This window comes from Homo sapiens, chromosome 12 (genome assembly GCF_000001405.40).
Source record: "Homo sapiens chromosome 12, GRCh38.p14 Primary Assembly".
Taxonomy (NCBI): domain Eukaryota; kingdom Metazoa; phylum Chordata; class Mammalia; order Primates; family Hominidae; genus Homo; species Homo sapiens.
The window spans coordinates 62,536,014-62,553,831 of record NC_000012.12 but is presented as its reverse complement, the minus strand read 5'-3'; the positions used below and the strand labels follow the sequence as shown (position 1 = coordinate 62,553,831).

Below are 17,818 nucleotides of genomic sequence, written 5' to 3'. Positions count from 1 at the left end.
ATAAACAGAATTTTATTATAATGGAACAGATGGAACAAAAAAGATGAGACTTTTAGCAAAGAGGGAATGATCACTAATAAACTGCTGATTTTATTAGAAAGTTTCAAAAGAAGAAAAAAATGAAATTGTAATTTAATGAATAAACATTACATGTACAATATACCATTTGGAGGTTACTTTTGTTTGGTGAGTCTACAAATAAACTTCATTGCTATTGATATTCATCTGTTAATAAAATTCTCTTTTGATTATATTTAAATTACATATCTATAAGTAGACCTCAAAAGTAAAACAAACAAAAACCCCAAAAGCTTTCTACTCTATGGTAAGGGATTGATTACCCTTTGTTGTTTAGTAACTCCTGGTTTTTACCATTTGGGAAAACTGGGGGAAAAAAAGGAGACAGAAAGGCAAAGGCAGAAATCACGAGAGATATAATAATAAGAGATGAAGACAGAAACAGAGATAAGGCTGTTAATATTTAATTTGCTCTTTATGAGGTACAATTTACAATATGACACAGTTATTTCCTGTTTTGTCAAATACACAAATGCATGGAAATTCTTTAAAAATTAAAAGAAATAAGTTTAACTGAAAAAGTATTAATATATAAGCATGACTCATTAAAAGCTGATAGTCCAATCTATTTTACAATACCTTCCAGATAACAGTGTGCCAGGTTGAATGCTGTAATAAAGTTCCATGCGCACCAATTGTAGAAAACAGAGTTTGCCCTGCACTCTTCCTGACAGCAGGACGGGGATCCACACATAGTTCACCCAATTTTGCATAAAGACATAACCACAAGCAATCAAATGGCGGTGCAGGGTGGAATGGCCGATTTAAAACAACTCCTTTCTCTTCTGCCTGCTTTTGCTGTGCTGCCTCTTCCTTATTTAGTTCTTTTTCAATAGTTTCCCCTCTTTGGAAAAAATAATCTGAAATATTCCACTAAAAAGCAAAGTAGAAAAATATTAGTTCATCCAAGGTTTTGTTTTAAACACATAAATATGCAACATGTGGCTGTTTTACCTTTCAGAGTAAAACTTTAAAAACATTACTTCAAAAATCTCTTTCCTAGTAGAATAGATTCAATGAAAACATCTCTTCTTCTGTCAGTGTCTCTACATTATTTCAGGAGAAAGTGGGGAAACAATCTTGAGCTAACTTTTTTTTTTTTACTTTTTTATTATAAAAAATGTCAAGAACATACAAAAAACCAAGAATAGTATAAGGAACTTGAACATATTGATGTATCTACCACCTAAATATAACAACTGTTAACTATAAAAAAAAACTATAATATCATTATCACCCTAACAATGTTAACAATTCCTTAATATTGTTTAATAAGTTTGTAATTTCATACACGAGCAATTACTGTTTCCAAACATATCTTATATTAATGATAATTATGCCAATGGTTAAAATGTAGAGAATCCAGTACTGTGAACATAAATGTAAAATAAAGGAGGTGCTATCCAGCAGTAATTTAAGCAATGTTGCACTAGCCACCCACTTGCAATCATATATGCAACATGCTTACATTTTTTCCCATGTAAAAATGGGAAAAATAATAGTAATAGTAAAATACAGTTGTCCCTCGGTATCCGTGGGGGATTGGTTTCAGGACCTCCCACTGCATACCCAAATCCACAAATCCTCAAGTCTGTTATATAAAATGGTGTAGTATTTGAATATAATCTACACACATCCTCCTGTATACTTTGAATAATACTAGGTAACTTTTAATACCTAACATAAGGTAAATGCTATGTAACTAGTTATACTGTATTTAGGTAATATTGACAAGAAAGCCTGTACATGTTCAGTACAGATACAACTATCTTGTTTTAAAAAAAAATTTTCTATTTATAGTTGGTTGAATCTACAGATGCAGAAGCCACAAATATTAAGAGCTGAACGTAGGAAGAGATGAATGTAGTAACTTATCTAGCTTGTGAGGAAAATTTAAAGTTCAAATTTATAAAACTTCTGAGTTTTAATATACATTTAAAAGATTCTAAATAATTGCCTTAAAATATATGTTGAAAACAATTCTGTGCATGTTTATTTCATGTAATGTTAACAATTCTCTAAGATTTCATTACAGAGATGCCTTGTTTTATTGCACTTCTCTTTGTTGTGCTTCACAGATAATTGTAATTTTTATAAATTGCAATTTATAAAGGTTTGTGGCAACCCTGCATTGAACAAGTCTGTTGGTACCGTTTTTTTCCAGCAGCATGTGATCACTTTGTGTCTCTGTGCCACATTTTAGTAATACTTGTAATATTTCAAACTTTTTAATTATTACTATGTCTGTTATGGTGATCTATGATCCGTGATCTTTGATGTGACTATTGCAACTATTTTGGGGTGCATGAGCCGCACCTATGTAAGATGGCAAACTTAATGTGAGTTTTCTGACTGTTTCATCGTCAGGTTGTTTCCTCATCTTTTTACTTCTTCTCAGGCCTCCCTATTTCTTGAGATACAACAACAGTGAAATTAGGCCAATTAATAACCCTACAATGACCTGTAAGTGTTCAAGTAAAAGGAAGAGTCGCATTTGTCTCACTTTCAATCAAAAGCTAGAAATAATTAAGCTTAGTGAGGAAGGCATGTCGAAAATCAAGACAGGCCAAAACCTGGGCCTCTTGTGCCAGTGAGCCAAGTTGTGAATGCACAGGATAAGTTCTTGAAGGAAACGAAAAGTGCTACTCCAAAGAACAAACAAACTATAAGAAAGTACATCATGGCGGGCGCCTATAATTCCAGCTACATGGGAGGCTGAGGCAGGAGAATCACTTGAACCCAGGAGGCAGAGGTTGCAGTGAGCCAAGATCATGCCACTGCACTTCAGCCTGGGTAACAAGCGCAAGACTCCGTCTCAGAAAAAAAAAAAAAAAAAAAAAAAAAGAAAGAAAGAAGAAAGTACAGCAGGCTTATTGATGGTATCAACAAACTTTCAGCTGTCTGGATAGAAGGTCAAACCAGCTACAAGATTCCCTTAAGCCAACGCCTAATCCAGAGAAAGACCCTAATTCTCCTCAATTCTATAAAAGCTGAGCAAGGTGAGGAAGCTGCAGAAGAAAAGTCTGAAGCTAGCAGGGGCTAGTTCATGAGGTTTAAGAAAAGACGTTATCACCATAACCTACAAGTACAAGGTGAAGCAGCAAGTGCTGATGTAGAACCTGTAGCAAGTTATCCAGATCTAGCTAAGATCACCGATGAAGGTGGCTACACTGACCAACAGATTTTCAATGTAGACAAAACAGCCTTTTTATTATTATCATTTTTTTTTACAGAGACAAGGTCTGGGTCTGTTGCCAAGGCTGGAGTGCAGTGCTGTGATCATAGCTCACTGCAGCCTCCAATTCCTGGGCTCAAGCAATCCTCCCATCCCAGCCTCCCATGTAGCTGAGACTACAGGTGTGCACCACCATACACAGCTAATTTTTAGTAGAGATGGGAGTCTCATTTTATTGCCCAGCCTGGTCTCAAACTCCTGGCCTCAGCAATCCTCCCACCTCAGCCTCCCAAAGTGCTGGGATTACAGGCATCAGCTACCATGCCCAGCCTGAAACAGCCTTGTACTTGAAGATGTCATGTAGGACTTTCATGGCTAAAGATAAAAAGTCAATGCTTGGCTTCAAGGCTTCAAAGTACAAGCTGATTTTCTTGTCAGGGGCTAATGTAATTGGTTCACATAAAAGTCAACTGAAGATTTCCCTTGTATATACTATTGTTTACTAAACCCTTTCATGACAAACCCTGTAAAACCCAAACTTCAGCTCAATGTATGAAAATTATTTCAAACATTTTGTTATTAATATTTAAGTGATGTTATTTAATCCTTCACCCAGACGTAAGTTTGAAATTTAAAAGCCATATAAACAATTTGCAAAGAGCTAAAAGTATATTTGCTTAGCATTCACTCCCAACTGAATAACAATGATTTCTAAATTATATTATATTCTAAGGACAATGATACTTACCAATAAACCTATTGAAGTTAAACTAATATTGAGTTCTTGGTTATGGAGGCCAAAGCTACCTGCAACATCTACAACTATTTGCAGGCAAGTACAAGGCATTGTTGGTAGAAAATCTGTCACAACCAACTGAAGACACTGGAATGCAGTTCGTATCAAGGATTCTCTGAAAACAAAAGAAATGTATACAGATGCACTTATTTTATTTATTTATTTATTTTTGAGACAGGGTCTCACTCTGCCACTCAGGTTGGAGTGCAGTGGTGCGATCATGCCTCACTCTCAACCTCCCTGGATCATGTGATCCTCCCACCTCAGCTTCCCCAGTAGCTGGGACTACAGGTGCACACCCCCATGCCCTTTTTTTTTTTTTTTTTGTGGAGACAGGGTCCCACTATGTTGCCTTGGCTGGTCTCAATTTCCTGGGCTCAAGTGATCCTCCTGCCTTAGCCTCCCAAAGTGCTACGATTACAGGCATGAGCTACCACACCCAGCCTTACTTATGCATTTAAAAGAAATGTGTAAAAATACATATCTTACAATAATTTGAAGTAAAATTTTATTTCAGAATTTAAACAAGAAACTCCTAATATTGATCATAAAGTATTTTAACATTTACATAAATGTAAAAAAGACATGCTTACTTAAACAAATTAACAAAAACAAAGAAAGAAGCTTACAGGCAATAAGAAATAAAAACAAATTTAAAAATAAAGTATTAACATCATATTACTTCTATTTGTATTTCATACCAACTAACCAAAGAAAACTTAGACAATAAATGAGAATGGCAAGTTTGCTACAGTTATTTTTCTCCTCACTGTATCCCTGATATCTAGTACAGTGTCCAGTACATGTAAATACACACAATTTACTGAAAAAGAGCTCCTCATTCTTTTATATCCGTACTGTATCTTATTTAAATCTCCAAAGAAATATAAAAACCCACATCCAGTCAGTGAGAAAAGAGTAAATTTTGAATTTCAAATAAAGATAATAAGAAGTATTTAGTTTTGGAGAAAAATCCTGGTGGTAAAAAATAGTAATGAAAATGATAAGTATAATTGCTAATACTCTGAGTGCTTAGTATGTCACATACTTTCTAACTGTTTTACACCCATTAATTCATTATACCCTTACTACAATGCCCTATTTAGTACACCACATTATAGGTTGGGAGAAGACACTTAAGCTTGATCTAAGCTGATTCTTCAATTTAAGCATCTCAATATTTTGTAGTAAAGAATTTTATTACTATAAATATTTAAGAAAAATTAACTTTCCATAATATTCTCAAGCATCTTGGTCGTCTACAACTTCCGAACTAGTCATCAAAACAAAAGTGTGATACTGCAGAATTACAGAAAAATCTATCCAATGTCTGTCTGCTTAATCTCTCCACTGCAATCTCCTACCCCAAAAGTTAAACAAGTCCATATGTCCCCTCCAAATTTGCTCTTCCTTGTCTTTTCCCTATTTAGTTAATGATACTACCATCCCCCACTAAACTGCCTAAGTCAGAAATCTAGAAGTCACTCCTGATTGCTATTTTCCCCTATGCCTCGCTACAGTCAATCCGTTAAGTAGCTCAAATCCATCTCTTATTTCTAGTGAGCACTTGTAGCCATTCTCATTTCCTACCTTCCCTTCCATGCTGCTGTCACAGTGATATCTATAAAATTCATATGTGATTAAGTCATTCCTCTGCTTAAAATCCCAAAATGTCTCCCACATGAATTTTGGATAAATTCAAATCATTTATATAACCATATAAGATCTCCTTCATAATTTTGCCTCTGTCCTCCTCCTGCTGAAGGTTTCTTATTTTGTGGCATAACAAACTACAGTCATGTGTTGCTTACTGATGAGGATATGATCTGAGAAATGTGTCATTCGGCGATTCTGTTGCTGTATGAACATCACAGAGTTTACTGACACAAACCTAGATGATATAACCTACTACACACCGGGGCTATATGGTATATTATTGCTCCTGGGCTACAAACCTGTACAGCTTGCTACTGTCCTGAATACTGTAAGCAATTGTAACATAATATAAGTATTTATGTACCGAAACATATCTAAACATAGAAAACGTACAGTAAAAACAGAGTATTAAAATCTTATGGGACCTCCATCATATATGTGGTCTGTTGTTGACTGAAACGTTAGGCAGCGTATAACTATACTTTCTCACTAGGATTCTATGTCTAGGGCAGGAGCTATTTACCTGTGTAATCAGAATAACTACCATGTATAGTATTTGAAATACACTCTGCACAGAATAAATGTTTAATAAATTAAAAAGTAATGAAAAAGTTACTTTAAAGCAATTTCTGACTGCCTAATATATATAGGGAGGTCAAGCCCTAAATGCTAATTCACATCTTATCAAATAATTTAACAAAACACAACAGCCCAATCTTTGGATGTGTTATAAAATTTGTTAATTGTTTCAAGTATCTTATAAGTAAGAATCATGTATTCTTGCATGAATGTTAAATAAAGAGCAATTTTTCCATCTTTCCAAACCAAAGGTGATCCCTAAAAATTGCCTGTAGCCACTTAGGGGTAGAGTTAAGAAAAACTATTACAGATCTTAGCCTTAAGCAGGAAGCGCATACATGAAAAAAATAACCACTATTTCAAGATTTTAGGATGGAGTCCTTCTCTACCTCTATCACTTTTTTGATGTTAATTTTATTTTATTTATATTTTATTTTTCATACATATTTTTTCTCAAATAATTTTAAATACTTACCCTTGATCATTTCTGATTGCTCCCATGACTCCAAGCACTAATGGCCATCCAGGCCCAAGACTGTCTCCCTGACTCTGCAGAATCTGCAACACGCATTCTAACTGCTTGAGTCGAATATCTGGATGATTAATATTGGACATCTCCTTTAACGGGTTCAATAAAAGCAACTGCAGCCTCTGAAAAGGGGGCAAGAAACTAATTAGGAAGAGAAGTCCAAAAAGACAAGAAGGCTTTACTGTTGCTTTTCAAGTTTAAATTCATCGCCATTCAGACTACTATGGGAAATAGATATTTTTATGTTTTATTTATTTTTTTTGAAATGGAGTCTCGTCCTGTCACCCAGGAGGCAGGAGTGCAGTGGCACAATCTTGACTCACTGCAACCTCCGTCTCCTTGGTTCAAGTGATCCTCCTGCTTCAGTCTCCTGAGTAGCTGGGATTACAGGCATGCACCACCATGCCCGGCTAATCTTTGTATTTTTAGTAGAGATGGGGTTTCACCATGTTGGTCAGGCTGGTCTTGAACTCCTGACCTCAGGTGATCCGCCCACCTTGACCTCCCAAGGTGCTGGGATTACAGGTGTGAGCCACCATGCCCGTTTGGAATTTTTCTACCTAAATAAACATCAAATATCATTTATCTAACAGTAATTATTAAAGACAAATCTATATTTTTAAATAAGAGAAAAAATCAACTTTCAAGATGTTAGATTTTAGATAAATGGGTAGTTATCTTACTTTAAAGATACTAATTATAGATCTGATAAATAATAGAAATAAATTTCACTAAAGGAAATATATCTCTAGATATATTTGGAGAGAGGTAATCAATTCCCAATCTCTAAAATGACCTTTCATTTACTTTATTAATGTATATCATATGTATTTAAATGTAAAATTCTCAAGTGTGATGTAGTAATAGAAGCTATAATACTTATAAAAAATGAATAAATGTAGCAGATATTAACAAAGATGACATAAAACCACGAAATTTGTTGGAGACTTAAAAAAAGCACTCTGTCTATCCCTTTCAGCATCTGAAAACCCTTCATTCTTAACTTTCTTCTCTCTAGGGGATTCATTTATTTGGTTCATTCACTGAATAAACATTTCTAAGCTTTCACTATGCACTAAGTATTAAGCTGGACATTGAGGATATCAAAATAAATGGAAAAGGGTATTATTTTTTCAAAAAAAATTCAAATTGTTGCAGAAGAACATATGAAATCATTAAATGTAAGCTCTATAAGCTTTATAATATCTTTTCTGTCTTGTTCATCATCTTATTCCAGGTGGGGTATTCAATAATTATGTGTTAAATCAATTTCTAGAGTACAATTACAATACAATAAGATGATGAGGGCAATTGGAATGGTTATTAAATGCCTCATTCTGTGCTTGCTTCAGTAGCACATATAATGAAATGATACAGAGATGAGCACAGCCCCCGGGCAAGGATGACATGCAAATTCATGATGTACTCCATATTTTTATTTAAAAAATTAAAAAATAAATAAATGCCTCATTCCTACTCAGTCATGAAACAATAAAACTTTGGTAGACTTTTTAAAAAGTGGGTACAAATAATAGAGAGTCAGGACAAAGAATTCATGACAAAAGTAAACTCTGGAAGTAAAACATAATTTAAAATTATTTTAAAATAAAAAATCTATTTCATTGTGCTTGTTTCTTCTGCCACTTATTTTCTCCCCATGTAAGGGTAGTGAGAAAAAAAAAAAATCCAGGGACATGTGAAGACCAAAGCAAAAGAGGCTCCAAAACAACACTTTAGCACTGCATGAAGAGGAAAACTTATGAACGTGAGACCAATTCCAGGTAATTTAACTTAGGTTAGTGTCATCCACAAGATGTTTAAAATTTTTTATGAAAACAGCCCTAAAAATCTCTTACCTTATGTAAGAGATTCAGGGCCTACATATAAAATAGAATATTAAGTTAAAAACCCTACTCTTAGAATATGATCTACCTGATAAGAAAAAAATCACATATGGAGGAGGATAATTTTATATTGAGTATTCTTTTTAAAAAGTAAGGTTTTTATTACCTGGTTTTGTGAGAGTGGAGGATCATGGTTAAATGTTAATCCTGCTTTAATAAGAGAAGTTAAAGCTTCTGCTCCCCATTCTCTCATTCGAGAGTTTGGATGCTGGCAGACCTGAAGGTATATAAAATTAAGTTTAATTTGTATACTTAAGCTATGAATCACACATCAATTTTACATTTTATATCAAATGTTCAATAAGGGTTGGAAGAAAAATTACACCCAAAATGTAAGTTAGCTTACCTTCTGAATAAGGGCAAGAGCAAGCAATAGAGAGACAGAAGAAAAAAGATGAAACTAAAACAATTCACAGAGAAGAAAGGATTTCATAACAGTAAATTATATATCAGGGTAAACAAAAGAAGCAAGCTAATACCAAGGTTCTTAATTAAGTTTACCCTCATTAATCAAATAATATGTCACAGAGTTGCCCTTTGATGAGACCATCCATTAATGAAGGCATCTGCACATAGCCTTTAATCATTCATAAAAGTAATTCCAATAAAATGGGGGGAAAGCTCATGTACATCTGTTTTTCTTATTTATTTTATTATTATTATTTTTGAGACACAGTCTCTCACTTTGTTACTCAGTCTGGAATGCAGTGGCACGATCACAGATCACTGCAGCGTCAACTTCCTGGGTTCAAGCAATTCTCCCCATTCAGCCTCCCAAGTAGTTAGAACCACAAGCATATACCACCAAGCCCGGCTAATTTTTTAAATTTTTTGTAGAAATGGTGTCTCCCTATGTTGCCCAGGCTGGTCTTGAACTCCTGGGCTTAAGTAATCCTCCCACCTCAGCCTCCCAAAGTGCTGGGATTATAGGTGTGAGCTACTGCAGCCAGCCTGTTTTTCTTACTAAGAATAATACCTTTCCTAGGTTTCTAAATAACACAAAAGAACTATGGTAACCTAAACCTAAACTGTACACAAACACACATACTGGCAGAAGCAGCTTGTTTTTAAGCAGGAACTATTTATTAAGAATTACCTCAACCTGAATGTAAGACAATGTAAATCCAGGTAAAATTCTCCAGCACTATCTATAGTTAGTGTTACCAAACAGGTTTTCCCCTTCACAGAAAGCTATCTCATAATCAAGGCCAGGAGCAGTTGCTCACGCCTGTAATCCAAGCACTTTGGGAGACCAAGGCAGGTGGATCACCTGAGGTCAGGAGTTCCAAGACCAGCCTGGCTAATATGGTTAAACCCCGTCTCTACTACAAATACAAAAATAAGCCAGGTGTGGTGGTATGCGCCTGTAATCCCAGCTACTCGGGAGGCTGAGGCAGGAGAATTGCCTGAACCTGAGAGGCGGCGGTTGCAGTGAGGCGAGACCTCACCACTGCACTCCAGCCTGGGTGACGGAGTTAGATTCCGTCTCAAAAAAGAGAGAGAGAGAAAAAAAAAAGCTATCTCATGATGATAGCAAAGGCTATAAATGAGCAGTGTTTACTATTAACTCTATGCCCCAACTGCCTTGAAGTTTCAGAACTATCTGAAACTGAGGTGAGGTGGATCAAGAGACTGTATGATAAAAGAAAGGCATCTCAAGGTAACAGCTGACTTCACTGATATTTCTCACTTTAAAATGTCACCCATTTTCAGCCAATAAAAGCAACCAATTCCTTCATGAAATAAATTACAAAACAACTTTAGTCCTTGATAAAATGTACAAACATAAGTAAGTACACAGTCAGGAAAGGGGGAAAAAAAGTTAATGCTGATTTTTCAAATGGCTATTTAGAATCATTAGCTCAGTGTGCAAATGTTTATTAAAAAATTAAATATATTTAAGAAAGAGAATTTACCTCAAGTAGATGGCCAGTCAGAGGTCTCCACAGAATTTCTATTCGGTGCATATTAACTAAACCAGTTTCTAACAATTTGGCAACAGCAAAAAGAGATGGTTCCTAGGGAGAAAATACATTGTATTTTGATAGTATAAGGAGAATTCTGAGTAATTAGACTATGAATAAAACTGAGAATACTCTGAAGAGCATGACTGAAATTAAAATTGAGTGGTTAGTATAAAGTTATATTTATAACAAAACCTCAGTTATCAAAGACAAGGCTTCCTGTCAACCTTAAGTATCCAAAATAGCTCCTAATTAGAAAATTTGGTTAGGAAGAGAATGCTTTAATAGTGGAGGGATGAAAATCCAAAAATGATACTAGACACATAGAATGGCTAGTCTTCCAACCAGAAGGAAAGAAGCATTCTTATCAGCAGTCTTAAAATGACCAGGTTTTATGTGTGAATGTCAAGAAGTAGGGAAAAAGAGACAACAGAGATAAAGGAAAAGGAAAATGAAATCAAGACTATAGCAGAGATCAGGGCTGTCAGTCCAGACACTAACAGAACAGCAGAGGACACGAAGACAAAACAGTTTTCTATAGTCCCTGACATATCAATAATCAGAAAGGGAACCAGGGTACATTATACATGGCTAAATTAGAGTACCTGGTCCATGTGTCACAAGAATGGTTTCAGAAAAGATCAAAGGGCAGTTATCTCTAATCTAATATTAATGAAAGTGATAAACATGTTTAAATGCAAATTCAGCTGATGAAAGCCATGAGTATTTTTGAGTGGATGGCGTGGTATTTCAAACAGAGACATTGTCTTAGAAAAAAGACAAGACAACTGAATAAAAAAGCCAATTTAGGAGAATAATTTTTAAAGAGAAAGATTTTTTATGAGTCTATATTCTTAACATTTTTACAGTGCTAATAAAAATCTAACAGGGAAATGTGTGATAATATCTTCCTTTCTAGCAGAAGCCAGTGAACCAAGTATATTGGGGTTTTAAGACAAATATGGTCAGGTTGACCCTTCCCGCATGCGCTAATGTGGAAAGCACCCTAAAAATTTGGGTGGTAGGAAAATTCATGATTCTAGGGAGAATATGGTATAGTAGTTAAGATGATGTCTATGAAGTTTTAACTGGGATCTCATCTCAACTCTACTACTTAATAGCTATATAACCTTGGGTAACCTATGTACCTCTTCTGAAAGTTTTTATTTTTTAAACCTAAAAAATGAAGATAATAATAATATAGAAAACTATCTAATGTTAGAAAGTGCCTGGCATATAAGTTCTCCCACAATGTTGCCTAATATTACTTCTTTATTCCTCCTCTTCCTCTTACTTATTTTAACTAGGATATACTCAGGAATCATGTAAAAGAATATGTATAGGTATCCAAAGCTCACACCTGAAGATTCTTACTCAAAAACCTAGAATGTGGCCCTCGCATTTGCACTTTTTAAAAAACTACACAGCTGTTTCTGATGCACACCAAAAGTCAGCAAAGTATTTAAGAACAGAGCTTTGGAATGAGACATAAGTGAATTCAAATCCAAGCTCTTCCAATAAGTAAGTACATAACCTCAGGCAGGTCACTTAAGCTATTTTTCATATTTTCATCTGTAAAAGGGTATATTACCACTAAATCTCACAGAGTTGTTTTAAATGATAAAATAAGTTAGTGCTTGGCATACAGTAAACAGTGAACAACAGCTGCTTTAATATTTTTGTTGTTGTTATACTGTGCTTGTTAATGTAACTATAAAAGTATCATCCTCTTCTAAGAAAGAATTTGCAAGCTTTATCTTTTTTTTTTTTTTTTTTGAGACAGAGTTTCACTCTGTTGCCCAGGCTGGAGTGCAATGGCGCAATCTTGGCTCACAGCAACCTCCACCTCCCAAGTGATTCTTATGTCTCAGCCATGAGAACAGCTGGGATTATAGGTGTGCACCACCATGCCAGGCTAATTTTTGTACTTTTAGTAGAGAAGAGGTTCCCTATGTTGGCCAGGCTGGTCACAAACTCCTGGCCTCAGGTGATCCGCCCACCTCAGCCTCCCAAAGTGCTGGGATTACAGGCGTAAGCCACCACGCTCAGCCTGCAAGCTTTATCTTAAGTTACTTCCTCAACACATTGGCACAAATTCCTGCAACGAGGATCAAAAACGAGATGCTGATCACTGTAAAGCCACACCTAAAGAACACTGATATATACATCTTTAATCCCTAGAATATTTAACTCACTCAGAACAGTCGATTTAGATGAACATTCTTTTTTCAATAATATAGAAACTTTCCCACTAATTTTAATATCTGCATATTTATAATAACTTTTATAGATGGCATAACTGAATAAACTTTTTATAGCCTCCATCTAAAAATATAAGGTTTATGTTGAATACTTTTCTAAAATTTATACTTGAATATTTTTATAAAGTTTTAATTTCCATTCCATATTTACTTCACTTTACAAAATTAAATCCTAAAAGGGAGACATGTAAATCCATTTTCAAAGAAATTATCTCTATTTTACTCAGCGTATCCATTTTCTCCACAACTGTTCTTCCCAAGCCTTCCTTAAAAATCGTATCTGTTGCTACCACTCTCTGAAATTGCACTACTGAAAGTTAAAAATAAATGATTAATCATCAAATCTCCTATTTTTTTCTTATAGGTCATGATTTCCTACAATATTTTTCTTTTGATTTACATTAACCTGCCCTTTCCTACCTAAATCCTACCAATCTTTCAATATACATCTCCAATCACACTAGTTCATCTTGATTAATCTTAATTCATCTTAATAGAAACATATACCAATAACATCTTATATAACAAGGAACTAAAAATTCAGAGAGTAAGTCTCATGTCATTTAATATCTGTATTATTTATTGAGACTCTCATACCATAGTAATTGTCACTAACTATGAACCAAGTAGCTTATATACTCTTTGAAAGTAGAAACCTCTTATTTCTTAATGTCTCTGAGCAGATCGTCATGTACACAGTAAGCCTACTGTGCTTATTGAATAAATACATAGATTCTGAAAACATTACCATATAAACTTGCTTAGATTTCATTAAGGTACTTTATTAAAAATATTATAGTTTTGTGTTAAGAATCTCAAATATGTAGAATTATTAAAGGTATCAAAAAATTAATTACTTCATTATATATTATCCTTGCCCTGATTTAGAACAAACTATAATATATATTTTCTTTTTTTCTTGAGACAGAGTCTTGCTCTGTCGCCCAGGCTGGAGCGCAGTGGCACAATCTCGACTCACAGCAACCTCCGCCTCCTGGGTTCAACTGAGCATGTCCAGCTAATTTTTGTATTTTTAGTAGAGACGGGGTTTCACCATGTTGGCCAGGCTGGTCTCGAACTCCTGACCACAAGTGATCTGCCTGCCTCGGCCTCCTGCAGTGCTGGGATTACAGGCGTAAGCCACCATGCCCAGCCATAATACATACTTTCAAACACCTGCATGTTTATATAATTATCTAGCTAGGTACTATAATATATGAAACTATGCTCTAATGAGACTTTCTTCACCAATCTTTAAATGAGTCATAAGAGCCAAGATAACAAGCCACAGTACCCAAAATTACACTTAAGGACTAGGCAGATGGCCGGGCGCGGTGGCTCATGCCTGTAATCCCAGCACTTTGGGAGGCTGAGGCGGGCGGATCACAAGGTCAGGAGATCGACACCATCCTGGCTAACACAGTGAAACCTTGTCTCTACTGAAAATACAATAAAAAAATTAGCCGGGCGTGGTGGCGGGCACCTGTAGTCCCAGCTACTTGGGAGGCTGAGGCAGGAGAATGGCATGAACCTGGGAGGCAGAGCAGTGACCCGAGATTGCGCCACTGCACTCTAGCCTGGGCGACAAGGCGAGACTCCGTTTCAAAAAAAAAAAAAGACTAGGCAGACAACATAATTTTGAATGCTACAGTTACATGTTATAGCTTTAAATTATATAAATTTTAGCTTTTAAATCATATTTTGGGTTATTTTCACTTATTTGTAAATAGTCAAACTATATTTATTGATTTTAAAATGTGGAAAGTATTTTGTTTAATTATTTCTAACATATAAATAAATACAACTGTTCCTGTGCTTTCCAAGTATAACAGAAAGTGATATTTTTAGTAGTATAGAAAGAAATGTTCTTGAATGTTAATATTCAAAAGTACCGTTTTATTCATTTAATCAATGAACAAATAAAAATTTAAATTTTCAAGATAAGGAGAATCATTACCTTTAGAAAGAAATGATTAGCTCCTTACTTTCCATCCCAATGAAAGCAAAGGAAACTGAGACAAACATTCTTTAATTTAAATCTTATATTACCCCAATCATAAATTGTAATTACAAGTATTATCATGACATTTTATATAACCTATAAAACTGTATTATATTATTTTATAAAAATATTTTTAAAATGTTCAGTATATAAGAGAAATGAACACAACTTAAAATCATATGACATATTTAGACATATCACAAGCCAAATCATGTCCTTTTTACTCCTTCGACAAATAACGATAAGTGGTAAAAACCCAACAGAGTATGGTTACCATACAATCTGAGTGTTAGTTCTACTAGTAAAACACTAAGATCATAATGGATGTACATCTTATATAACTAATGTATCATATCTAAAACAGAAAGGTAGAATATCACACCTTATTATTTCCATAGGCCATATCCATTGCTTCTAGAGACAAGGAGCAAAGTGCATTTATTAAATGATGCAGTGATACATCATCAAGATACCTAAAAAGGAAATGAAGAAATAAGACATCTTGATCTAAAATATATAACAAATAACAATGTTTTTATCAATTAAAAAAACTGACTCTTACTGTGAGCTTTCAAACAATCTTGAAAGTATATTGGAAATCACTGGTAAATCTGTCATCACTGCTGTTGTTAGAACCTGAGAAGAATAAAATTAAATGTAATATATGACACTTTGGGATGCACTAATTGGGTAAGAAAGACTAGAGCTTACTGTACTGGGTCCTTCTACAGCTCTCCCAGGTTTCAAGGCACCGCCACTACTAGGCTTTAATCCCAGAATCCACACAAGATGCTGTAAAATTAAAAAAAAATCAAAACAAATAACTTTACAAAAGTATAAAAGGTCCAATAACTAAAATTAAAATCAGTAGTAACTTCTAGCAACCAAAATTAAAATCAGTAGTAGGTTTTTAAAACCTAAAACTAAAATCACTAATTAACATTCATATAAAATAATTAATGATATCGAACATATGCAGCAGAGCTTAGGCCATTATGAGAAGCATTCCACCACTTCCTACAATATGAGTCACATCTTTTTCCCTTTCTAACTTCTCTTTTTTCATACTTACTATCTATTTTTTAGGCCTGTCCAAAACATCAAAATACATTGCTTAGTCTAACTGTTAGCAATTATATATAAAAACAACACTAATCTCTGACCTAGACACTTTTACATACCTGAAGAGTTGCCAAGACAAGTTGCCATGATGTTCCAAGAACAGCCCCATGGCAATGCGCCAAGTTAAGTAAAGTCCTCATACACTGGATATTTTTGGAAGTCAGCTATATTTTAAAAAGGATACATTTTCAATAATTGTTATGTATTCTTAAAAATTAAAAGCTTATAAAGTAGCATTAATGTGTTAAAAGATTTTTTTAAAGAAAAAATTAAGAAAAAGATTTGGAAGGTTTTATAAGGAACAATTCATTTGATTAAAAGTTGTATTATCATATTGGTTACAGTAATGTCAACTGCATAAACTAGTTTCTTCTAGTTTAAGAAAGTAGTTCTAGTAAAAGAAAGTAAATAAATGTATGACACATTTTGGCAAACACAAAGATAGGTACAACAAGTTTCCTTGATAGCTAATTGATAACCAAGAAAAATACAAGTACATTACCATTACTGTCCCTTGAGGCTGGACTGCTAAAGGTTGACCCACTGCCACAACTTGTTGGTGAGATTCACTTGATGGACTTATCATCATAACACTTTGGCCCTGAACGGAATATGCTAGAACACAAAGGAAAGCCTAAATAATTAAAATATATTTTTATATTGCATTTAAAGTAATGTTATATTTAAAGTTTGATTAAACCAAGTTTAGCCATACACTTATTTAAATATCAGTAATACCTAATATCTGTATCAAAACATTTAAAAAACTCATGAGGGGCTGGGCACAGTGGCTCACACCTGTAATCCCAGCCATTTTGGGAGGCTGAGGCAGGCAGATCATTTGAGGTCAGGAGTTCAAGGCCAGCCTGGCCAACATGGTGAAGTCCTGACTCTTCTAAAAATACAAAAATTAGCCAGGTATGTCGATGCACTTCTGTAGTCTCAGCTACTCAGGAGGCTGAGGCAGGAGAATTGCTTGAATTCAGGAGGCGGTGGTTGCAGTGAGCCAAGATCTGGGTCACTGCACTCTAGGCTGAGCGACAGAGTGACTCTGTCTCAAAAAAAAAAAAACAAAAAAACACAAAAACTTCATGAGGTACAAAAACCAAGACAAGTTAAGCAAATATTAAGTAATTTTCTATACAACATAAAATTATATAACTTTGGTAGATTTCTTCATAAGCAATACAGAACTCGAACACATTCTAAGTATTTTAAACATGTATCCCTGGTATGTTTTTTAATTTAGAGAGCAATACATTTTCAGTTTGAAAACTGAGTATTAGCATGTAATAACAACTACTTGGGAGGCTGAGGCCGGACTGCTTTAGCCCAGTTCAAGATCAGCCTGGGCAATATAGCGAGATCCTGTCTCATTAAAAAAGTATAAACAAAAAAACCCTAAATATTACACTGAAATTTATATTACATGTAACAAACAAGTATTCTTAAAGAATTCAACAAGAAAATAAATTTTTGAATGTAAGTTTAACCTAAGTGGTTACAAACATTACTGTTCTACTAGTTCCATTAAAAAAAAATAACAATCACCATTTCAATGGTATCTCATAGTTTACAAAGGACTTCCAGATTTATCTTATTTTCCTCTCACAATTATTGTTTAAAATTGGTATTACAAGTTGAGTATCCCTTATCCGAAATGCTTAGGATCACAACTGTTTCCGATTTCAGATTTTTGAATATTTATATTATATATACTTATGCATTTATTTGCATAATATATTTGTAAAT

At 34.5% G+C, this 17,818-nt stretch overlaps 1 protein-coding gene and 1 pseudogene across 15 annotated transcripts in view; one reads left to right on the top strand and one right to left on the bottom strand.

The window, feature by feature from the left end:
* Nucleotides 1–17,818, bottom strand: part of MON2 (MON2 regulator of endosome-to-Golgi trafficking) — a 133,651-nt gene that overhangs the window by 46,645 nt on the left and 69,188 nt on the right. For 8 of the 15 annotated variants that reach the window (XM_017019045.2, XM_017019043.2, XM_017019044.2 and 5 more), the window contains 11 exons: nt 16,569–16,681; nt 16,126–16,230; nt 15,656–15,736; nt 15,507–15,580; nt 15,327–15,417; nt 10,634–10,735; nt 9,064–9,066; nt 8,824–8,934; nt 6,760–6,935; nt 4,002–4,164; nt 658–951 (listed from right to left, as the gene is read on the bottom strand). In XM_017019045.2, coding sequence (XP_016874534.1) covers nt 658–951; nt 4,002–4,164; nt 6,760–6,935; nt 8,824–8,934; nt 9,064–9,066; nt 10,634–10,735; nt 15,327–15,417; nt 15,507–15,580; nt 15,656–15,736; nt 16,126–16,230; nt 16,569–16,681 — 1,313 coding nt within the window. The remainder of the gene's footprint in view (nt 1–657; nt 952–4,001; nt 4,165–6,759; nt 6,936–8,823; nt 8,935–9,063; nt 9,067–10,633; nt 10,736–15,326; nt 15,418–15,506; nt 15,581–15,655; nt 15,737–16,125; nt 16,231–16,568; nt 16,682–17,818) is intronic. The other 7 variants (XM_047428542.1, NM_001278472.2, NM_001278469.3 and 4 more) reach the window with 1 other exon arrangement.
* Nucleotides 8,153–8,250, top strand: RNU6-399P (RNA, U6 small nuclear 399, pseudogene; annotated as a pseudogene).